At 45.1% G+C, this 24,736-nt stretch overlaps 2 long non-coding RNA genes across 7 annotated transcripts, besides 1 other annotated feature; one reads left to right on the top strand and one right to left on the bottom strand.

The window, feature by feature from the left end:
• Nucleotides 1–1,281: 1,281 nt before the first annotated feature.
• LINC02965 (long intergenic non-protein coding RNA 2965) lies at nucleotides 1,282–13,496 on the top strand. Its single transcript, NR_186333.1, has 5 exons — nucleotides 1,282–1,359; nucleotides 2,170–2,389; nucleotides 4,297–4,419; nucleotides 11,537–11,703; nucleotides 13,263–13,496. It is a non-coding gene; the product is annotated as a long intergenic non-protein coding RNA 2965 (long non-coding RNA).
• LINC03049 (long intergenic non-protein coding RNA 3049) lies at nucleotides 11,622–23,225 on the bottom strand. 6 transcript variants are annotated; one of them, NR_182284.1, is made up of 4 exons: nucleotides 23,105–23,225; nucleotides 22,745–22,873; nucleotides 13,240–13,365; nucleotides 11,622–12,120 (listed from the first exon to the last, which is right to left on the bottom strand). It is a non-coding gene; the product is annotated as a long intergenic non-protein coding RNA 3049 (long non-coding RNA). The 6 variants fall into 6 exon arrangements; NR_182286.1 differs by having other exon boundaries at nucleotides 23,020–23,225; NR_182282.1 differs by lacking the exon at nucleotides 13,240–13,365.
• Nucleotides 23,026–23,591: an enhancer, noted in NCBI's record as "OCT4-NANOG-H3K27ac-H3K4me1 hESC enhancer chr19:35351359-35351924 (GRCh37/hg19 assembly coordinates)". NCBI's record gives its function as "activates a minimal SCP1, AML or CMV promoter by ChIP-STARR-seq in primed H9 embryonic stem cells {active_cell/tissue: H9 hESC(primed)}" and the evidence as "EXISTENCE:reporter gene assay evidence [ECO:0000049][PMID:30033119]".

Raw genomic sequence — 24,736 nt, forward strand, 5'->3', positions numbered from 1 at the left:
GGCAGGAGGGGTCTGGGCCCGTATGGCTTGCTGCCCAGGAGGATGTTGATAAAGATGTTCCTTGGGCCTTTGCCCAGCAGGATGTGATAAGGAAGTCAGGTGGCTGGGCAGGATGTTTCTCACAGCCCAGGGCCCCATGGAATCTTTCATTCTGACCAGGGTCTGTGAAATGGCAGGGACTTGCAAAATGGTGCAGCTTGGACTAACAATTATTATTAATCCTAAAGGGAGAAGGAGATTCAGCAAGAATGGTGAAAGGAGAATTATAAGTAGGGCTTCTCGTTTCATGATCAATATCTGATGGGGGGGGGTAAGTACAGGGGCAGTCAGGATTGGAGGGTCTGGCAAACAGGTCAGCTGAATCAGTGTCTACTAATGAGGCAGGAGCCAGGATCCACATGATGAAAGTGGCCACAGTCAGGAAGTCTGAAATTTTCTCAGCAGAAAGGGAGAAAGAACAGGCAGGCTGAGTGGCCCTGCTGTCTGAAGGGGCCTCAGTTTTATCCTCCAACGCCTTGGGGCTCCACTGGTGCTCACCTCTCTTCTCCAAGCCTAGGTCTTCAGCAGTGACTATACAGGAAACCTAGGGGGCAGAGGTAGCTCTCCTCCACCCAACAATAGCGGCAGTGGCAGCAGCAGGAGTACTGGAATTTGGAGTTACAGAGCTCACAGCTGTTAGATGTGTTTGGAAAGTTCCTTCTTGAGAGTGTCTGGAAGCTTTTTCTCCCTGTGTCTTGTCTGACTTTAGTGAGGCTGGAGATCTGGGTGAATGGCCTCCATCAACATCTTCCTTCGCCCACCTCTCCAGTAGCAGAGTGCAGATAAGACTGGACGGGACAGCCCTGCTGAACCCACGGCAGACCTCCAAAGAGGTCTGTATAAGCTGGCGATGTCACTGACTTTGGCAAATGGGCTCAGAGAAGATGCTTTCTTACTCAAGGTGTCTTCTGGGTGTTTGGAACAGAGGCTTCCTTTCAGGAGTCCAGGACTGTACTGGAAGGAAGTGACCACAAGATGACACCGTTGATCTTCCAGACACTCCCGCTGTTATGAGGGTGAGGGGGGAGCCCTTCTCTAATTATCCTTCTTTTGCTACTTTTTCCCTCTGCCTTAGCTTTTCCTTTCCTGCACTCTCCTGGGGACTTCAACTCAGTCTTTCTGAGGCAAGTATGGAGGGGAGGACAGGGTGGCCCAGCTTCGTAGAGATCACTACCTGCTCAAACCCCAAACAGAAAGGAGTCATTTGCAGCCTGGAGGAGGACTCTACCATTCCAAGATATTCAGCTGAACACCCTAGTAGTGCTAGCCGGCAGCAGTGGCTCCTGAGACCTCCACACCAGAGTCCCGCACACATTCAAGGTAAGAACCCCAGAGAGGAGCCCAGAGCCTGCGGAATCAGACACCGCCTCCTAGCGGTGATGTCCAACCGAAAAGGCGCGGGACTGCAGTAAACCTGGGCGAGCAAGGTCGAGGAGAGCTCTGTGCCGGGACCGCGAGGCGATCCAGACCAGATGGGGGACGAGGGGCGCGTATGAAGCTTGTAGAAGAGGTTGCCGGTGAAGAGCAGCCTGTGCGCTGCACACCCTGTTACGCAATTGAGCCGCCGTTGGAACGCGTGGAGAGAAAGGGTGCGCGAGGCCAGGGCTCGAAGAAACGCAGCAGAGGGCAAAGGGCGAGGTCCAACGGCCCAGCCCCAGCAGGGGACTCTCGAGCTTCGGGATTCCGCCTACCCGGTAGCGGCTGTTTAGACCCAGACCGGCCCCTGCGCGATATGAGCACCGCTCAGGACTGCAGCTGTTGGGCACCAGCAGCCAGGTCTGCAGGCTCCGCGAAGCCTGGCCCGGACCGTAGCTTCTGCAAGCAGTCCAGGTGTATCCTGGGGTCACTGGAGGGCAGAGCCTGCTCAGAGCGAGTACAGAAGCAGCCCAGGTCTTCCCAGCACCAGGTTCACTGGAAGTGCCAGGTGTGGGAGAGGGAGCTGGGGAGGGAAGAGGGCTATGCTGGTTCCCGAGCTGAATGATGTACCCAAGAGGCCAGGTAGCTGCAGCAGGTGCTAAGATGAGGAGGAGACGCCATCATGGGGTGCAAATATGGAGCACAAAAGGCTGGACCCTCATCCTTTTAGGCAGCTGCTGCTGAAGACATCTGTTTCCCCTCTCCCCTCCTCAGGCCACCACCTCCTTCATGCTCCTCTGTGATCACCTCTCCAAGTCCCGGTGTCAGGAGCCTTCTCTGTGGCCGCCCTGGAGAGACTTGAGCCTGGGACGTGACGTGCTGGGCTGTGAAGCTTTCTGAGAAGGGAAACCTGTGGCCTGACCTGCCTGAATGCTGCACCCAACCTCATCTCTTCCTGGGAGGCAGGCTCTCTTCGCTTGTTTTTACAAATTTGGTAAAACAGCATTTCAGTCCTAGTCCCTGGTAGTGACCCTGCCAGGATTTGACCCAGGCTGTCTGACTCTATTTATGCACAAATCACGTATTACCATTTTTTATTGTCCTTAGTCCATGGCACACATATAATGAGCACTTACGTGGCCCACTAGGAAGTCTTTCCTTTTTGCTTCAAACTCAGATCTTGGCCATTGGCCACAATGGGGCCTTGGTCTCCTCTGAAGATGACCTGGGACTGCTGTTCACAAGCAAATCCCCATTGGGCATTTCTATTCTCATTGAGCTTGCAGCAAACCATGAAGGTCCCTGTGGCCTATCTTCTCCCAAAGCCAAGGATGGGAGATGGTACATCAGGTGGGCACAGGATTCATGCTGATTTAAAAGCTTTATGGCAGGGCACAGTGGCTCCTGCCTATAATCTCAACACTGGGAGGCTGAAGCAGGAGAAATGCTGGAGACCAGGAGTATGCAACCAGCCTGAGCAACACAGTGAGACCCTGTCTCTACAAAAAAATTTTAAAATAAAATTAGCTGGGCATGGTGGCATACGCCTATAGTCCCAGCTACTCAGGAGGCTGAGGTGGGAGGATCACTTGAGCCCAGGAGTATGAGGTTATAGTGATCTATGATCACACAACTGCACTACAGCCTGGACAACAGAGCGAGACCCTGTCTTGTTTGTTTTGTTTTATTTTTGAGATGGAGTCTTACCCTGTCGCACAGGCTGGAGTGCAGTGGTACGATCATTGCAACCTCTGCCTCCTGGGTTCAAGCAATCGTCCTGCCTCAGCCTCCCAAGTAGCTGGGATTACAGGCGCCCACCAGCACGCCCGGCTAATTTTTGTATTTTTAGTAGAGACGGGGTTTCACCATGTTGTCCAGGCTGGTCTTGAACTCCTGACCTCAGGTGATCCACCCACCTCGGCCTCCCAAAATGCTGGGATTACAGGTGTGAGCCACTGCACCTGGGCCTGTCTCATTTTTTAGAAAGACTTTTCAGGATCCTGGTCAATATTGACAATTTATCAATATTGACTTTTCCAGTACAGGAGCATGATATATGTCTCCATATATTTAGGTCTTTTAAGATTTAAGATTTTCTCTCAACAATATTTTGTAGCAAGGTCAACAAGCTAATTGGCCCCTGAACTATTTTTGTAAGGCCAGTGACTAAGTACAGTGTTAACATTTTTGGCCGGGTGCAGTGCCTCATGCCTGTAATCCCAGCACTTTGGGAGGCCGAGGAGGGTGGATCAACTGAGGTCAGGTGTTCAAGACCAGCCTGGCCAACATGATGAAAGCCCATCTCTACTAAAAATACAAAAAATTAGCTGGGTGTGGTGGCAGGCGCCTGTAATTCCAGCTACTCGAGAGGCTGAGGCAGGAGAATTGCTTGAACTGGGAGGCAGAGGTTATAGTGAGCTGAGATCATGCCACTGCACTCCAGCCCGGGCAACAAGAGCGAAACTCTGTCTCAAGGAAAAAGAAAAAATTAAGGGTCTAAAAATATAAGAACGAGACTAAGTGGAAAAGACCATAAGCAACCCATAACGCCATATTTACTATCTGGGTTTTTAAGAGAAAATTTGTAACCACTGTTTTGTAGTTTTCTGTGAGTCTAACTTGCAGAGCTTTTGCTAATTTATTCCTATGTATTTTATGTGAGTTGTAAACACTACTGTAAATGGTATCATTCCAATTTTAGTTTTCAATCATTCATCAATGGTATACAGAAATTTTTAAAAATACACATTGACTTGTATACTGAGACCTTGGTAAATTCACTTTTGACTTCTGGTAGCTTCTTCGTTTTCTATGAATCATGTTTATGTGAATAAAGCTACTTTAACTTCTGTTTTAATCTGCATGCCTTTTTCTTTCTCTTTCTTACCTTTACATTTGCAGAAACCAACAACTGTCAGCATTGACACCATCAGGCCTTTCTCTTCTAATTTAACCTTGCAGCCAACCACACGGCTATCTGTGCGGGATCTCTCCCCAAGCTCAAGGACATGAGATGCGGATCAGGTAGGTGCAAGATCCATGCTGTCTTAAAAAGTCTTATAAGGCCAATATGTCTTGGAGCAATTCCATACACCAGGGGTCCCCAACACCCAGGCCACAGACCAGTACTGGCTGTGGCCTGTTAGGAACTGGGTCACACAGCAGGAGGTGAGTGGCAGGTGAGCGGATATTACCGCCTAAGCTCCGCCTCCTGTCAGATCAGCAGCGGCATTAGATGCTCTTAGGAGTGCGAACCCTATTGTGAACTGCGCATGCAAGGGATCTAGGTTTCACATTCCTTATGAGAATCTAATGTCTGAGAATAGTTTCATTCCAAAACCATCCCCCCGCTACCCATGGAAAAATTTTTTTCCACGAAACCAGTTTCTGGTGCCAAAAAGGTTGGGGACTGCTGCCCTAGACCAGCTTTCTGGATTCTGGCTGAAACGGACAACTTACCAATATTAATTCTTCACTCCACCAGCTGATACACACACACACACACACACACACACACACACACACACACACATTTGTACGTGTATTAGTATACGGCAGTTTACAGAAAAATAATTGTTTTATATATATTGATCTTGTATACTAGCACCTTGCAAAATTCATACCTTACTTTTTATAATTTTTTATAGATGGATTATAGGATTTTCTGCATACACAATCAGGATTTCTGTGCATTGAGTAGTTTACCCTTTCCTTTTAAATCTGTATGATTTTAATTTTTCTTATCCTCCACATTTGCTGCAACCTCCAATACAACATTGAATCCAAGAGAAGTCAATGGACTTCATTTTCTACTTCCTGATCTTGGGGGGAAAATATTCAGTATGCTGTTAACTGAAGTTTTTTTTCGTTCAATGCATGCATTATCACATAAAAGAAATAAGGAAATTCCGTCCACTTCCTACTTTACTGAAAGATTTTTTTTGAAAGGAATATTAGCTTTTTTCGATTAGTTTGTTCACAACTATTGAGATGAATTGTATCGGCTGATTCTTTTCTAATAGCTTTTTTGAGAGACAATTCATGTAAAATACAATCCATGTATTTGAAGTATAGAATTCAATGGCTATTAGTCTATTCACAGAAATGTGCAACCATCAACACAATTTTGTAAAGTATTCATCACCCCAAAAAGAATCTTTGTACACCTTAGCCATCACCTTCTAATACCCCCACACCTCCCAGTTCTAGGCAAGCATTAATCGACTTTCTCTCTTTGAGTTTACCTACTCTGGACATTTCCTGTATGAAACCATAGACTATGTGGTTCTTTCTGGCTGGATTCATTCATGTATTATAATAGTTTTATATGGCATATACATAACACAAAATTTACCATTTTAACAATTTCTAAATGTACAATTCACTGGCATTTAGTACATTTATATTGTTGTATAACCATCGCCACTATTCATCTCCAGAACTTTTTCATCATCCTAAATTGAAACTCTGTACCTATTAAACAATAACTCCCCAGCACACATTCCCCACAGCTCTGGTAACCACTATTCTGTCTCTATGAATTTGCCTATTCCAGGTATATCATATAAGTAGAATGACACCTTTGTCCTTCTATGTCCAGGTTGTTTTACCTGGCATAGTTTTTTTTCAGGTTTTATCCATATTGTAGCATGTATTAGAATTTCCTTCCTTTTGAGGCTGAATAATATGCCATTGTATGTTTTGTTTCCCCATTCCTACATTGCTGGATACCTGGGTTGCTTCCAGCTTTTGGCTATTGTGGATGATTCCACTATGAACATGGGGTACTACTGGGAAATAGAGTAGAATGAACCTGACATTTATTCAACAACACAGACACATCTCAAAACCATTATGCTTATCAAATACCCACACCCAAAACTGCATACTCTGATTCTGTGTATAACAAATTTTAGAAATAGCAAGATTAATATGAAATGTCAGAAAGCGGATAAATGGTTGTTTGTGGTTAGATATGCGGAGGAACTAACAACAAAGGAGCATAAGGGGATTTTTTAGGATGATGGAAATGATCTGTACCTGAATTGTGGTGGGGCCTTGAGTGTACACATTTGTTAAAACTTAGCGAACATAAAACAGGTGCATTTTTCATGTAAATTTTACCTCCAAAAGGTTTATCCGAAAAAAAACATTTGATGCAAAGGCAGTCACAACGTCATGCTAACGTCGTTGATTGTTTTATAGGCAACTGCTATTGCAGTTGACGATATGAAATTGACGATAATTAGGGCAGAGATAGACTATGTGGTTCTTTGTGGCTGGGCTCACTTACGTAGCGTAATGGTTTTATATTGTGTATAAACAACATAAAATTTACCATTTTAACAATTTTTAAATGCACAATTCACTGGCAATAAGTACATTTATATTGATGTACAATTATTGCCACTCTCCATCTCCAAAACTTTTGTTCATAACTGCTATGGTAGTTTGTAATATATTTTAGACAATTCATTTAGAAAAGATTAATGCTAAGGAAGGGGTATGGTGGATAATAGGAAGGCAAGCAGTGGGGGTGCTGGGCAGGGGGTAAGGCAGGAAGAAAGACAAAGCAGCAAGTAAGCTTAGATGCAGAGAAGGCTTGCTGACATGCGGACCTTGTCCGAGCATCTGTTGCAACATACCCTGATGAGAAGTTCATGTGCAATGAAACTCCAACTCCTGGGACCTATGTGTGGAACACTGGGACCCTGACCCCGTCAGATCAGTCAGATCCCCTTTCTCCAGAGCAGATTGGTCAGCACAGGGAGACAACAGCTCAGATCTTCGCCCTGTGAGATCACTTATGGGAGGGGCTGCCCCGACCCCCCACATCTGACTCCCCCATGCTATAGTTTGGTTTGTTTGACCCCTCCAAATCTCATGTTGCAATGTGATCCCCAGCGTTAGAGGTGGAGCCTGATGGTAAGTGTTTGGGTCATGGGGTTGGAGCCCCCATGATGTCTTGGAGCTTTCCTCACAGTGATGAGTGAGTTCTCACTCTATTAAGCCCTGCAAGAGCTGATTGTTAAAAACAGCCTGGCACCTTCCTCCCCTCCTCTCTCGCTTCTTCTCTTGCCTAGTGATCTTTGCACATGCCAGCTCCTCTTTGCCAGCCTAAGGCCCTCACCAGAAGCAGATCCTGGCATCATCCTTCTTATACAGCCTGCAGGACTGTGAGCCAAAGAAACCTCTTTTCTTTATAAATTACCCAGCCTCAGGTATTCTTTTTATAGCAACACAAAAATGAATGAAGGCATCCCTCTCTTCAATGCTGCAGGAATTGTTTTCATTACAGGTTTGGGCTGCTCTATAATTTCATATAAATGGGAGCATACATTATGCACTGTTCTTAAGCCTTAAGGAGTCTTTCATTCAGCATCATGTTTCTGTGATCCATCCATGTTGCCTGTTATCAGGAATTCATTCACTTTGATATCTGAGTATGAATGCACCATGGTTTGTTTTTGCTTTCTATATAAATAGACATCTGAGGTACTTCCAGGTTTTACATATTATGAATAAGGCTGCTGTGAACTTTTCTGGTGCAAGTGATTCTGTGTCCATGTGTTTTTATTTCTCTTGGGTTAATACTTAGGAATGAAATTGCTCAGTCAGACTAGATATATGTGTAGTTTTCTGAGAAACCATATGAACTTTTTTCCAAAGTGGTTTTACAATTTTATATTCTCTCCAGAAATGAAGAAGAGTTCCAGGTACTCCATATGCCTGCCAACATTTGGATACCTGGGTTGGATACCTTTTAAACTTTATCCATTTCGGTGGCTGTGTAGTGGTGTATTGTTGTTTTAAATTTTCATTTCTCTAATGACAAATGATGTTGAATACTTTTACGTGTGCTTGTTTTATGATACTTCTTTATAGGAGAATTGTTCAAATATTTTGCCCATTTATTATGTGGCTGGGCATTTTATAGTTGACCTGTAGGAGTTCTTTATAGATCTTGCACACTTGTCCTTTGCTAGATATATGTTTTGCCAATAATTTCCCCAGTTTATAGCTTATGGCTTGCCTATTTATTTTCTGAATTAAATACTTTTGGGGCAAAAGTTAATCTCGTTTATGGTTTCCAGATAATAAATTTTCTTTTGATGCAATCTCATTTCTCAGTATCTTATTTTATAATCTTTCTATTCTTAAAAACTCCTTTGTAGCCCAAGGGATTAATCAGGGTCTCTTACATTTTGTTCTAAGACGTTTATAATTTTTTGAAAACCTTGTTTTTTGAATCCATCTGGAATTTGTTTTCATAACTGTCTGAGGTGAAGACGTCAGCATTTCTCCCATACACACAGCCAATGGTCTTCGAACTCAACCGCATGTTTGAGGAGGAGAAAGAGGAGGAGGAGTCCATCCATCATTCCTCTGTTTTCTCCCTTCTTATTTTTTTTGAGACAGGGTCTTGCTATCACCCAAGCTGGAGTGCAGTGGCACAATCATGGCTCACTACAACTTCCACCTCCTGGGCTCAATTGATCCTCCTGCCTCAGCCTCCTGAGTAGCTGGAACTATAGGTGCATGCCACCACGCCCGGCTAATTTTTGTATTTTTTTGTAGAGATGGAGTTTTGCCATGTTTCCCAGAATGGTCTTAAACTCCTGGGCTCAAGCAATCCACCCCCCTTGGCCTCCCAAAATGCTGGGATTACAGGCATGAGCCACCGCGCCCAAACTTCCCTTCTTATTTTTGGATGCCATCTGTGTGATTTGTTTCCATAGTCCCTGTGATCAAGTATTCATTAATGAGAAAAAATTTCCCCCTCCCAGAACAGCAAATTCCTGGACCCTTTCTCTCACACACACTCCCATCATTCAATTCCACAACAATACTTTGATACATGTACACAATCCAAAGTGAATGTGCACAATCCACTTCTCATGCCCCCCACTGCTGTTGTGTGTCCAAGCCATCATTACCCTCCACCTTAGGGGCTCAGCCTCCTGACTGGTCTCTCAGCCTCCGTGCTCATCCGAGCAACCAAAATCATCCGCTTAAAATCTACGGCAGATCATGCTGTCCTATGCTTTAAGCCCTCCAGTCATTCCCATCTCTGAGGATGTCATCACTTTATAATGACAACCTACAAGGCCCTCCCTATTTTGTGTGTCCCCATCCCTTTCTGCTCTCCTCGCCCCCACTCTCTCTCGTGCTGACCGCAGCCCCATCAGCTTACTGACTGCCCCACGAGGATGCCAGGCATCCTCCCTTCGATCCTTTGCAGTGGCTACTTCTGCTGTTTCCAGTGTTCTTCCCTCACGTGTCTGTGTGGGTCACTTGATGACCCCCTTCTAGACCTTGCTCAAAACTCACCTTCCTAGTGAGGTTGTCCTCTCTTCCACGTGCACATGGAGACTTCTGCTTCTCCTTACTCCAAGTGTCAAACCTCCACAGGCAATTTTATTCTTCATAACATGTGTTACCAGCTAAACTGCCACATCATTTATGTGTGATTACGATTGTTGTTTATTTTCTCCCCCCGCCAACTCGAATGTAAGCTCTGCTGACATTTTTGCTGCTACTTATAATAGGTCCCAGCTCATCCCAGATGCTCAATAAATATGGCAAATTGACAAATAAATGAGTCAACTGCCTTCTGAATATTACTGATTCATCCACAGGGTTTCACACTATTAAAAACCGAACACTATTGAAAGCTGAACTCACCCTACGAAAACAATGCATGTCCATTTGTCTAAGGCAAGTGGCTACAGTCACCCTGGTCATGTGTGGCAGTTAATCGTCTCACTTCCCTCTTCTGCTACTTCCTCTCCAGCCACTCTCAGCTCCTCTAGAACGGGAGCTCATTGTCTCGTCTTTGCTTTGGCCAAAGAACCCCCGGAGCCCCTTTACCTCTGTTCTAGCACCCATTGGATTCTTCCTTCCAAGGAAGTACAAGAATGTTTCTAAAAGCTACATATCATCATTTCACTTCTTTGCTTTCACTCCTTTCGTGACTTTGCATACTTTCAGGATGACCGACAAGTGCCCATCACGTACATTAATTTGTCCGTTATCTGGCCCCTGCTGATCATTACAGCCGTACACCCCAGGCTTGACTTCATTCTCCAGCTGTACCTGACTACCTTCCTTGTGTCCCACAGGCTCACAGCCTCTCTGGCTTCCTTGACTTTTCACATAATATTTCCTTGATGTGAAAATAGCCCCACTCTACCTAGAGGCTTCCTCCTGCTTCTTGAGGTGCAATTAAAGTTCCTTCTCTCCCGTATTTAATACTATGTCCTTCTTACCTGCTCTCCGATCCCTAGCACAAAGTCCTATTTAAATTTTTGATATGCATCTGTCTCTCCTACTAGAATGTAAGTTCTTGTAGGTCAAGAAATGTCTTTGAACCCTATCTCACCAGTGACTAGCACAGTGTCTAGTGCAGGTTCATCACTAAGTAAATGTTTAATAAAATAATACATAAGAAGCTGGCAGAAATTCTTGGGTTTTCCCTCTTTCCTCCATCTGAAGGTGGTTTTCCTGGGTTATAAAATGCCTTAGAAATTATAGAGTTTTCAACAATGAAGTCTAGTTTAGATTCAGCCTGACTCTATGATCAGCCATGGGTTGGGTGGAGTGTCAACTTTTGCAACTTGAGATTTTAGTGGTTTAAATAGGGACAAACTGTATCTTTTCCCACATAGGCCCAATCCAGGTACTTACTTGAAAATAATTTATTTTTCTTTCATTTTTTTCCTTTTTGAGAGGGAGTTTCGCTCTTGTTGCCCAGACTGTAGTGCGGTGGCGCGATCTCGGCTCTCTGCAACCTCTGCCTCCCGGGTTCAAGCAATTCTCCTGCCTCAGACTCCTGAGTAGGTGGAATTACAGTCACCCACCACCACACCCAGCTAATTTTTTGTATTTTTAGTAGAGATGGGGTTTCACCATGTTGGCCAGGCTGGTCTCAAACTCCTGACCTCAGGTGATACACCCTCCTTGGCCTCCCAAAGTGCTGGGATCACAGGCATGAGCTACTGCGCCCGGCCTCAAAATAATTTTTTGCAGGACTTTTTAAAGGAGTATGATAACAACTTTTGAGTCATATATTTTATCCTAGACTTAAAATGTTTCAGTAATTACCCAGTGGCATGAGCTCTTTCTTTCATTGTTCTTGCAGGCCCAAGAGGCTGGATGCCAAACCTATCCTCTCCATGTGAAGCACCAACTTGGGGGTGTCAACTAAAAATATGAGACCCGTAAACTTGGAAAGGAAGACTTTATTTCTTGAGAAGGGTTGCAAACTGCAGGCTGGGAAGTGGCACCTCCAGCTGAGACCACAAACAGGTACTTTGAGGGAGATAGGGTGGGATAGGAGTTTTATGCCAAACAGGTTGGCTAAACAGACATATTCAACAGGTCACAGGGGGAACTATGAATATTCATGAAAGGGGGTCATATGTGTGCTTGATAAGCAAACATATGTGTTACATACATCCCATGTTCACCTTCGAGTGGAGAATTAACATTAAAATGCAGTAAAATTAGGTTCTGTATGTTAAAAGGTGAAACACAGGACATGAAGACACTTTGTACACAGCCTCGGTGAACCAGCCAGAACCAGCCCATGGTTGAATACTTTGTAGCCTAGTCAGTTTGTCACTTCAAAACTGCAAAAAGGGCTGGGAGTCAGGCCGCATCAGCAGGCAGTTGGTTGAAGTCAGCGGAGGGGTGTTCCATTCTTTGTTTTTCCAGGGCTTGTTTCTGTTTAATTTGGGAAACAAACAAAAAAAAACCCTGGTAACAGTGAGGAAGGGGTATACGGAGGCGCAATTTCCCATCTCCTTACGGCCGGGAAACTTAGTTTTTAGTTTTTTGGGGGTCACCTTGGCCAAGAGGGGTCTGTTCAGTCAGTCAGAGGGCTCAGGGTTTTATTATTTATTTGTTTGTTTATTTTTCTGAGACGGAGTCTCGCTCTGTCACCCAGGCTGGAGTGCAGTGGCACGGTCTTGGCTCACTGCAACCTCCACCTCCAGGGTTCAAGCAATTCTGCCTCAGCCTCACGAGCAGCTGGGATTATAGGCACATGGCACCATGCCCGGCTAATTTTTGTATTTTTGTAGAGATGGGGTTTCACCATGTTGGCCAGACTGGTCTTGAACTCCTGACCTCAGGTGATCCACCCCACCTCGGCCTCCCAAAGTGCTGGGATTACAAGCGTGAGCCACCTCAACCGGCCTCTGGGTTTTATTTGTATTTCACAGTGGAATGCCTGGCCCCAATCTAATTTAAAAAAAAAACACATAGAAAAGATATTCAAACATTTTTAAAAGACGAAAACAGTAAAGTGTGCTTTCCTGTCACACAGCAGGGAGGATCTGACCTTTGGGGAGGTCAGATGGTGTAGGGGAAGCACAGAGGGAGGTGGCAAGGGCATGTCCTGGTCTCTCTTTCTCTGGACCTCTCCTCTTCCTGGGCTGATATCCTCACACTCTCATCAGAGACATCAGAAGTCAGCACAAACAGTCCTAGAGTGTGCTACTTCCATGTCACATTAGCTGAGCCACAGAAAATTTTGAAATGTCAAGTCTGGCTCAACCTGTCACCATTCATAGAAGGCATCCTTCCTTCTAGACTGGCCTAAAAGTGAAGACCCCAGAGCAGAGACTCATGAACATGAAGGAGGCTTTAGATATTTAATCCGGAAAAGCAAGTAAAAGGACCATGGAGACAAATAGGTTAAAAGAAAAGGAACAGCTTGCCCGCAGCGGGGTGGGAGTTGCTGGAGGTGCTACCAGTCCCAAGACTAGAAGGAAAGTGTCCCAGAGCTTGAGTCTTCCAGGCTTACAGACAAAACCAGAGTGGAGCACAGTTGGTACTTACAAGTCTCTCTTTCCTCCCCACAGTGGACTTTCTCAAACTGGGGTATTGACCTCTGATGAACCGCCATGCAAACCCGTGCCTTTCAACATAAAAAGAAGCCCTTCGAGGTGCTCACCTTCAAGCTTGCTAGAGGAGGAGGAAGAGCAGGTTGAGTTTGACATAACTAGAATGGGTTGAGCCTTTCCAGCAGAGTAAGGTTCTTTCATGGTGGACAGTGGCCACCCACTGCCATTTCTACAAGAAGATTTTGCTTCTTAGGCACTGAGTTCCTGGTTCTTTCACTAGAGAAAAATGAGTAGGTTGGCAATCCAGTACTTCCATCTTCTGTGAAGACCTGGGCAGGCAACGGGGGCTTGGGGGCGGGGGCAGGGACCAAAGACAAGGCTGCCATTTGCTGTGCCCACCACAGAGGGACATTTACTCCACCTGAAGCACAAGTATTTTCTCAGTGATGTTGGCTCCTACAAAGTCAAAAGGGGTAGGCTCCCTGGCTTACGCTCCAGGAGTTTGGACTGAAAGGGACACTAAAAGTGTCTTCCTCTAAGTTTATGATGTTGCCCTCCTCTGGCTACAACAGTGCTCTGGCCATAAGCATCCCAGGTTCTCTGAATGATGGTGGGTATGGAAATGTTCCCAAACACAGGTATGGCGGTGTCCCCTCCCACTGTACCAATCTATGCCCAGGGCTGGAAGGTCCGTGGTGCTCTGAACTGGATTCATAAACAGTAGCATCTCCAACCACAAGTGTGGTGTCAGGCCCTCCAACAGTAGCACATGTGCTCCCGTGGGTGCCTGATAGAAAGTGGGAACATGTGTTTATTAGCCAGGTGGGCCCCAAATGCTCTGACGAGGTGCAGAAAGAGGACTCTTTGTCACAGTTGTGCTGTGCCCTCCCATTGCAACACATGTGCTCTGAACAGGTGGAGCCCAGGTGCTTTGCATGTAGGCGGACACAAGAGGGCCTCTAAGCACAAGTGTGGTGTTGGAACCCTCAAGGCTACCGATGCATTCTGGCCAGGTGTGTCCCAGGTGGTCTGACTATAGACAGCAACAGAATTATCTCCAGCACCGTTATAGAGATACCCGTCCAACTGATGTGCTCTAGCGGGATGGGACCCGGGTGATCCGAACACAAGGAGGAACAGAAGTTTATTCTGATATATGCTCCTTCTTAGCGATGTTATCTCCTTCAATAGTAACAGGTATGCTTTGGCTGGGTGGGCCTCAGTCACTCTGTAGCCAGGAAGGAAAGGGCTCCCAAAACAGATTTCTGCTCCGTAGAGCTGATCTTCCCTCATTGCAACAGGGATGCTATAGGCAGGCAGGACCTGGTGCTCAGGTCTAAGCCCTTCCTAGAATAAGTTGTGGTTCTGAGTGTTGTCAGCCCTTCTGCAGATTTCAATGACCCCTGACAAGGAGCCAGGGTTTGGGACAGACACAATGACTGCAAACCTGCCACCACCCAAAGGGGCTTAGATATTGATGGTGCATGGCACTGCTGCAGTGGCCCTTTATCTTGATCCCCTTTTTTTTTGAGACGGAGTTTCGCTCTGTCGCCCAGGCTGGAGTGCAGTGGCGCGATCTTGGCTCACTGCAAGCTCCGCCTCCAGGGTTCATGCCATTCTCCTGCCTCAGGCCTCCACCTCTCAGGTTCAAGCGATTCTCCCGCCTCCGCCTCTGCCTCCTGGGTTCAAGCAAACCTCCGTCTCCTGGATCCAAGTGATTCTCCTGCCTCAGCCTCCCAAGTAGCTGGGACTACAGGTGTGCGCAACCACGCCCAGCTAATTTTTGTATTTTTAGTAGAGATGGGGTTTCACCATGTTGGCCAGGCTGGTCTCGAACTCCTGACCTCAGGTGATCTGCGCGCCTCGGCCTCCCAAAGTGCTGGGATTACAGGCGTGAGACACCATGCCCGGCCCTCAGTCTCTTTTAAGCAAGGATCAGGGGAGTAATCAGATGGCCCATATAGCGCTCCTGCTATTGAAGGAGCGCAGATGTCGCTCAGATAGCGACAGGAAGAGAAGTCAGTTTCCCCCTGCAGGTAGGATCAGTACTTTTCCTAAGTGGCTGCACTTCTTTGAGGTGCAAGCATACAGTGCTGTCTTTCTGAGAGCCCTGGCATGACACCAAGGGGAGGCCCCCTTCTGATGTAAACACTGAGCTTGCTGGGTTGCATAAGGCCTCTCAGGGGTGATATAAACCGAGGGGGTAAAGGTGACCGTGTTGCTCCCAGGAACTGTTTTCAGAAGATGCACAGGTGCAGCAGGAGGATTCCTGCCAGAAGCAGGAACAGAGAGGGCAGGGAGAAAAAGGAGGATGGTGGCCTGGGGGCCAGGCGGGGTGAGGCTTACTGAGGAAGTTGTCCGTGAAGAGCAGTTTGTGTGCTGTCTGACACTGAGAGTCTAGTAAGAAATTTGGAGAGGTCTCCTAGCTGCATGTTCCTCCAAGGCAAACCATGCTGGATGTTTGTGACATGTCATTGGAACACACACCAGAGAAAGTGTGTGCTAGAGCAGAGAGGGAAGACAAGGCACCAAAGGACAAAGGGGAATCCCAGCAGGACTTTTGAGAGCTTGAGACAGCTCATGCTCTTTGCAGGTGCTTGGCACCAGGTGTGCCCGATGACATGGAAAAGCATCCAGGACTGTGTATTATAGGACCCCACATAACTGTCACCCCCAGATCACCAGGTCTGCAGGCTCCTCAGCATCTAACCTAGGGGCAGCAACTAGTGCCTGTGAGTCTCCTAGCCCTTTTCTCTGGGGTTATTGGAGGTCAGAGGTCAGAGCGCCCTAGATCCTGCCAGGAAGGGGCCCTGGCTCACAGGAGGTCAGGGTAGGAGAGGTGGGGGTGTGGCCAGCAGGGATCAACTCTGTCTCATGCCATTACTGGTGCACCCAGGTGGCCCAGCAGGGCTGCAGCTGCAAGACACGTGCTCTGATGGGGAGGAGAGACCAAGCAGTGTGGGGCGTGATTTGCCCTGACCTCTTCCTTTCAGGCAACCTCTGCAGAGGACACTAGTTTACCCCCACAATGTCCCCTTCCCATGTGGTAGCTCAGGGTTACCACACACTGTTTCCTCCAGGGATCCCTCTAGGGCCTCTCAAGTCTTGGAGCAGGCATATCTTCTCTGTGGCCACCCAGGAAGGTGTGGGTCCATGGGCATGAGATGTGAGTCCAGCTGGGCTGTGAAGGTTTCTGAGATGGGTACTTGGCACCCCAATTTTCCCAGGTCCTGCACCCCATACCATCCCTTCCAGGCAAGCAGATCTTCCCTCTTTTAACAAATTTTTCGAATTGCAAACAGCATTTAGGACTTTGCGCCTTCCTCAGGTCACCCATGTGGGCGTAAGGGAGAGTCAGGATTTGAACTCAGACTGTCTGATTCCAGAGTTTATCCATTGACCACCTGACAGTGGTGATGCCTCATCATGTGTGTCACGTATTTACATTTTTAAATAGTCCTTAGGGTACTTAGCACCATGTACACCTGTCATGAGAGTGTTCACTGCCTGCATCAGAAGATGCAGGGTGGAGAGCACCAATTGTCAGCACAACCATATTGGGCATTTCTCTGCTAAATGAGTCTTGCACAAACCACACAGCTGTCTGTGAACTATCTTCTCCCAGGTACAGGACAGGAGACCACTTAGGTGCAAGATACACTCTGTCTTAAGAGCCTTATGCTCCAAGGACACCAACATCTCTTGTGACAATTCCATAGACCTACTTTTTAGGATCCTGGCTGAAATTGGCAATTTACTGATATCAAATAGTGTACTCTATCAGGATGGTAAATAGTTCCTTATATTTAGAACTCTTTTTTTTTTTTGGACAGAGTTTCACTCTTGTTGCCCAGGCTGGAGTGCAATAGTGCAATCTCAGCTCCCTATAGCCTCCACCTCCCGGGTTCAAGTGATTATCCTGCCTCAGCCTCTCGAGTAGCTGGGACTACAGGCATGCACCACTATGCCCAGCTAATTTTGTATTTTTAGTAGACACTGGGTTTCACCACGTTGGTCAGGCTGGTCTCGAACTCCTGACCTCAGGTGATCCACCTACCTCAGCTTCCCAAAAGCGTGAGCCACCGCGCCCGGCCTTTAGAATGCTTTAATTTTCTCTCAGAGACTATTTTGTGGTTGGGAATGACAAATTACAGTTCATGAGCTGAATTCTTTCCAGTCTGTTTCTGTAATGCCAATAACCTTAGAATGGTGATAAGAGTTTTCAAAGTTTGTAGAAAAGAGGAAAGGAAAAAAGGAAGAAAAACAGAGGAAAATATGCAACAGAGACCATATGCAATCTTCAGAGCCTATAATATCTACTATCTGGTCCTTTACAGAAAAATTTGCCTCTTTTGTGATTTTCAGTGTATAAGTCTTGTACAGTATTTACTAATTTATCCTTATGTGTTTTATAAGTTTTTTGTATGCTATCGTAAATGGTATCTTTTACATTTTAGTTTTCAGTATTCACCACTGGAAAATACAGTTGATTTTTATATATTCACCTTGTATGCTAGAACTTTGCTAAATTCACTCTTTACTTTTAATAGTTTCTTTGTGAATTCCTTAGGATATTCTATGTTCACAGTCATGTTTTCTATGAACAAAGAGAGTTTTGCTTCTTCCTTTTTATCCTGTATGCCTTTTATTTTTATTTCTTACCCTTATATTTGCTACAACCTCCAGTAAAATGTTGAGAAAAAGTAGAGATGTAGACATAGTTTGCCAGTCCCTGATCTTAGGGGAAAAGTATTCAACACGGAATTGAGTCAAAGTTTGTGGCATATGCACTTAATCACTCAAAAGACATATCCTCTAATTCCTAGTTTGCTAAAAGATGTAAGATTGTGTTAATTTCTTTGCCCATTTTGTTAATTTCTTTTAGTTCCCACATCTGAGGGAGAACATGTAGTATTTATCTTTCTGTGCCTGACTTATTTCGCTTAACACAATGTTCTCCAGGCTCATCCATTTGCCACAAATGACATGGTTTTATTTTTTTAACGACTGAATAGTATTCCATTGTGTATACATAATGCATTTTCTTTATCCATTATCTGTTGGTGGACATTTAGATTGATTCCATATCTTAGCTATTGTGATAAGTGCTTCAATAAAGATAGGGGTGCTAACCAAGCACACAGGCTTAATTAGCTTGACAATTCTTACACAAAGTAGAGATTTCCGAAAGACACCACATTCATTGAGTAAATTAGGAAAACTAAAACCTGCCTGGCAAGAATGATGAAGAGGCATATCTGTGGAGGCTTTGGATCTTGGTGGAAAAAATTAAAAGGAAAGAAATCTCTCCCTTGAAATTCTTAACCAAAGTCTCTACCTTCTGGAGTTAGACATCATATTATCCAAACAATTCCATATCAATCATTTTGTGTAAAGTAGTACTGAGTTGGTAGTGGCCCCATATATTACATCTATACCCACAAAAGAATTTTTTAAGGACACATGGGTACCTCTGTCACTTGTCATCTGGTTCTCAGTGTTGACATGGAGCAATTTGTAATCTAAAAAACCTGCAGTCTTATCTAACAATACTCAGGTCCTAGGGAAATATTTCTCCATATCTCTTGCAATGAGCCTGGTGTGGTGGTGCACCTGTAGTCCCAGATACAGAGATGAAAGGATCACTTGAGCCCAGGAGTTTGAATCCAGCCTGGGCAACATAGAAAGACCCTATCTCTTAAAAAAAAAAAAAGGCAATGAAAGAAATTGAAAAGGAAACAAACAAGTGTCAAGACATCCCATGCTCATGTATTGGAATAATTAATAATGTTAAAATTAGCATACTACCCAAAGCAATCTATAGAATCAATGCAATCCCTATCAAAATATCAATGACATTTTTCACAGAAACAGAAAAAGAATTCTAAAATTCATATAGAACCAAAATATCCCAAATAGCCAAAGCAATGCTGAGCAAAAATGACAAATGTAGAGGCATCACATTTCCTAACTTCAAAATATACAACAAAGCTATAGAAACCAAAACAGAGTGGCATTGGTATGAAAGGGGAAACATAGACTAATGGAACACAATAGAGAACCCAGACATAAATCCGTATATTTACAACCAACTGATTTTTGACAAAGTGCCAAGAACATACATTGGGGAAAGGACAATGTCCTCAATAAATGGTGCTGGGAAAACTGAATATCCGTATGCAGAAGAATGAAACCAGATGCCTATTTCTCACCACACAAAAAATCAACTAAAAATGGATTAAAGGCTGTAAGACCCAAACTAGAAAACCACTAAAAGAAAACATAGGAGAAATGCTTTAGGACATTAGTTTAGGCAAAGATTTCATGGCTAAGACTTCAAAAGCACAGGCAACAAACATATAGACAAGTGGCAATATATTAAACCGAAAAGTTCCTGCCCAGAAAAGTAAACAATCAGCAGAGTGAGGAGACAGCCTGTAGAATAGGAGAAAATCTTTGCAAACTATTCATCTGACAAGAGACATATCCAGAGTATACAAGGAACACAAACAACTCAACAGCAAAAACTCAAATCATCCAACTAAAAGGTGGTCTATAAATTGAATAGATATTTCTGAAAAGAAGATATACAAATGACCAACAGGTATATGAAAAATGCTCAATATCGCTAATCATCAGGGAAATGAAAATCAAAAGCACAATGAAATGTCATCTCACCCTGGTTAGAATGGCTGAAAGAAAGAAAAAATAAATGCTGGTGATGCTGCAGAGAAAAGAGAAATCTTTTTTTTTGTTTTTTGAGACGGAGTCTCACTCTATTGCCCAGGGTGGAGTACAATGATGTGAACTCAGCTCACAGCAACCCCTGCCTCCTGGGTTCAAGTGATTATCCTGCCTCAGCCTCCTGAGTAGCTGGGATTACAGGTGTCTGCCACCACACCCAGCTATTTTTGTGTGTGTGTATTTTAGTAGAGATGGGGTTTCACCATGTTGGCCAGGCTGGTCTTGAACTCCTGACCTCAAGTGACCTGCCCTAGTCGGCCTCCCAAAGTGCTGGGATTACAGGAGTGAGCCACCATGCCCAGCCAGAGAAAAGGAAACTCTTATACACTGTTGGTGGAATGTAAATTAGTACAGCCATTTACTAATACAGTATGGAGGTTTCTAAAAAAAAAATAAAAATAGAATTACTATATGATCCAGGTATCCCACCACTAGATATTTGTCTAAAGAAATGGAAATCACTGTATAAAAGGGATACCTGGGAGGGGTTCCAAGATGGCCGAATAGGAACAGCTCCAGTCTACAGCTCCCAGGGTGAGCGATGCAGAAGACGGGTGATTTCTGCATTTCCAACTGAGCTTTGAAGAGAGTAGTGGTTCTCCCAGTACGGAGTTTGAGATGTCAGAATGGACAGACTGCCTCCTCAAATGGGTCCTTGACCCCCGAGTAGCCTAACTGGGAGGCACCTCCCAGTAGGGGCTGACTGATACCTCATATGGCCCAGTGCCCCTCTGAGATGAAGCTTCCAGGAGGAACGATCAGACAGCAACATTTGCCGTTCTGCAATATTTGCTGTTCTGCAGCCTCCACTGGTGGACCTGCAGCAAACTCCAACAGACCTGCAGCTGAGGTCCTGACTGTTAGAAGGAAAACTAACAAACAGAAAGGACATCCACACCAAAACCCCATCTGAACGTCACCATCATCAAAGACCAAAGATAGATAAAACCACAAAGATGGGGAGAAACCAGAGCAGAAAAGCTGAAAATTCTAAAAATCAGAGCGCTTCCTCTCCTTCAAAGGAATGCAGCTCCTCGCCAGCGATGGAATGAAGCTGGACGGAGAATGACTTTGACTAGTTGAGAGAGGAAGGCTTCAGACAAGCAGTAATAACAAACTCCTCCGAGCTAAAGGAGGAAGTTTGAACCCATGGCAAAGAAGCTAAAAACCTTCAAAAAAGATTAGATGAATGGCTAACTAGGATAAACAGCGTAGAGAAGACCTTAAATGACCTGATGGAGCTGAAAACTATGGCATGAGAACTACGTGATGCATGCACAAGCTTCACTAGCCGATTTGATCAACTGGAAGAAAGGGTGTCAGTGATTGAAGATCAAATGAATGAAATGAAGCGAGAAGAGAAGTTTAGAGAAAATAGAGTAAAAAGAAATGAACAAAGCCTCCAAGAAATATAGGACTATGTGAAAAGACCAAATCTACGTCTGATTGGTGTACCTGAAAGTGATGGGGAGAATGGAATCAAGTGGAAAACACTCTTCAGGATATTATCAAGGAGAACTTCCCCAACCTAGCAAGGCAGGCCAACATTCAAATTCAGGAAATACAGAGAATGCCACAAAGATACTCCTCAAGAAGAGCAACTCCAAGACACATAATCATCAGATTCACCAAAGATGAAATGAAGGAAAAAATGTTAAGGTCAGCCAGAGAGAAAGGTCGGGTTACTCACAAAGGGAAGCCCATCAGACTAACAGCAGATCTCTTGGCAGAAACTCTACAAGCCAGAAGAGAGTGGGGACCAATATTTGACATTCTTAAAGAAAAGAATTTTCAACCCAGAATTTCATATCCAGCCAAACTAAGCTTCATAAGTGAAGGAGAAATAAAATCCTTTACAGACAAGCAAATGCTGAGAGATTTTGTCACCACCAGGCCTGCCCTACAAGAGCTCCTGAAGGAAGCACTAAACATGGAAAGGAACAACTGATATCAGCCACCGTGAAAACATGTCAAATTGTAAGACCATTGATGCTAGGAAGAAACTGCATCAACTAACGAGCAAAATAACCAGCTAACATCATAATGACAGGATAAAATTCACACATAACAATATTAACCTTAAATGTAAATGGCTACAGACACAGATTGGCAAATTGGATAAAGAGTCAAGACCCATCAGTGTGCTGTATTCAGGAGACCCATCTCAGGTGCAGAGACACACATAGGCTCAAAACAAAGGGATGGAGGAAGATCTACCAAGCAAATGGAAAACAAAAAAAAAGCAGGGGCTGCAATTCTAGTCTCTGATAAAACAGACTTTAAACCAACAAAGATCAAAAGAGACAAAGAAGGCCATTACATAATGGTAAAGGGATCAATTCAACAAGAAGAGCTAACTATCCTAAATATATATATGCACCCAATACAGGAGCACCCAGATTCACAAAGCAAGTCCTTAGAGACCTACAAAGAGACTTAGACTCCCACACAATAATAATGGGAGACTTTAACACCCCACTGTCAACATTAGACAGATCAATGAGACGGAAAGTTAAAAGGATGTCCAGGAATTGAATTCAGCTCTGCACCATGCGGACCTAATAGACATCTACAGAACTCTCCACCCCAAATCAATGATATACATTCTTCTCAGCACCACACCACACCTATTCCAAAACTGACCACACAGTTGGAAGTGAAGCACTCCTCAGCAAATGTAAAAGAACAGAAATTATAACAAACTGTCTCTCAGAACACAGTGCAATCAAACTAGAACTCAGGATTAAGATACTCACTCAAGGAGGAGCCAAGATGCCCGAATAGGAACAGCTCCTGTCTACAGCTCCAGTCTACAGCTCCCAGCGTGAGCGACGCAGAAGACGGGTGATTTCTGCATTTCCAGCTGAGGTACCGGGTTCATCTCACTAGGGAGTGCCAGACAGTGGGCGCAGGTCAGTGGGAGCGAGCACCATGCGCGAGCCGAAGCAGGGCGAGGCATTGCCTCACTTGGGAAGCGCAAGGGGTCAGGGAGTTCCCTTTCTGAGTCAAAGAAAGGGGTGACGGACGGCACCTGGAAAATCGGGTCACTCCTACCCAAATACTGCGCCTTTCCGACGGGCTTAAAAAACGGCGCACCACGAGAATATATCCCGCACCTGGCTCGGAGGGTCCTACGCCCACGGAGTCTCGCTGATTGCTAGCACAGCAGTCTGAGATCAAACTGCAAGGCGGCAGCGAGGCTGGGGGAGGGGCGCCCGCCATTGCCCAGGCTTGATTAGGTAAACAAAGCAGCCAGGAAGCTCGAACTGGGTGGAGCCCACCACAGCTCAAGGAGGCCTGCCTGCCTCAGTAGGCTCCACCTCTGGGGGCAGGGCACAGACAAACAAAAAGACAGCAGTAACCTCTGCAGACTTAAATGTCCCTGTCTGACAGCTTTGAAGAGAGCAGTGGTTCTCCCAGCATGCAGCTGGAGATCTGAGAACGGGCAGACTGCCTCCTCAAGTGGGTCCCTGACCCCTGACCCCCGAGCAGCCTAACTCGGAGGCACCCCCTAGCAGGGGCACACTGACATCTCACACGGCAGGGTATTCCAACAGACCTGCAGCTGAGGGTCCTCTCTGTTAGAAGGAAAACTAACAAACAGAAAGGACATCCACACCAAAAACCCATCTGTACATCACCATCATCAAAGACCAAAAGTAGATAAAACCACAAAGATGGGGAAAAAACAGAACAGAAAAACTGGAAACTCTAAAAAGCAGAGCGCCTCTCCTCCTCCAAAGGAACGCAATTCCTCACCAGCAACGGAACAAAGCTGGATGGAGAATGACTTTGACGAGCTGAGAGAAGAAGGTGTCAGACGATCAAATTACCCTGAGCTAGGGGAAGACATTCAAACCAAAGGCAAAGAAGTTGAAAACTTTGAAAAAAATTTAGAAGAATGTATAACTAGAATAACTAATACAGAGAAGTGCTTAAAGGAGCTGATGGAGCTGAAAACCAAGGCTCAAGAACTACGTGAAGAATGCAGAAGCCTCAGGAGCCGATGCGATCAACTGGAAGAAAGGGTATCAGCAATGGAAGATGAAATGAATGAAATGAAGCGAGAAGGGAAGTTTAGAGAAAAAAGAATAAAAAGAAATGAGCAAAGCCTCCAAGAAATATGGGACTATGTGAAAAGACCAAATCTACGTCTGATTGGTGTACCTGAAAGTGATGGGGAGAATGGAACCAAGTTGGAAAACACTCTGCAGGATATTATCCAGGAGAACTTCCCCAATCTAGCAAGGCAGGCCAACGTTCAGATTCAGGAAATACAGAGAACGCCACAAAGATACTCCTCAAGAAGAGCAACTCCAAGACACATAATTGTCAGATTCACCAAAGTTGAAATGAAGGAAAAAATGTTAAGGGCAGCCAGAGAGAAAGGTCGGGTTACCCTCAAAGGGAAGCCCATCAGACTAACAGCGGATCTCTCAGCAGAAACCCTACAAGCCAGAAGAGAGTGGGGGCCAATATTCAACATTCTTAAAAGAATTTTCAACGCAGAATTTCATATCCAGCCAAACTAGGCTTCATAAGTGAAGGAGAAATAAAATACTTTACAGACACGCAAATGCTGAGAGATTTTGTCACCACCAGGCCTGCCTTACAAGAGCTCCTGAAGGAAGCACTAAACATGGAAAGGAACAACCAGTCCCAGCCGCTGCAAAATCATGCCAAAATGTAAAGACCATCGAGACTAGGAAGAAACTGCATCAACTAACGAGCAAAATAACCAGCTAACA

This window comes from Homo sapiens, chromosome 19, assembly GCF_000001405.40.
Source record: "Homo sapiens chromosome 19, GRCh38.p14 Primary Assembly".
Classification (NCBI taxonomy): domain Eukaryota; kingdom Metazoa; phylum Chordata; class Mammalia; order Primates; family Hominidae; genus Homo; species Homo sapiens.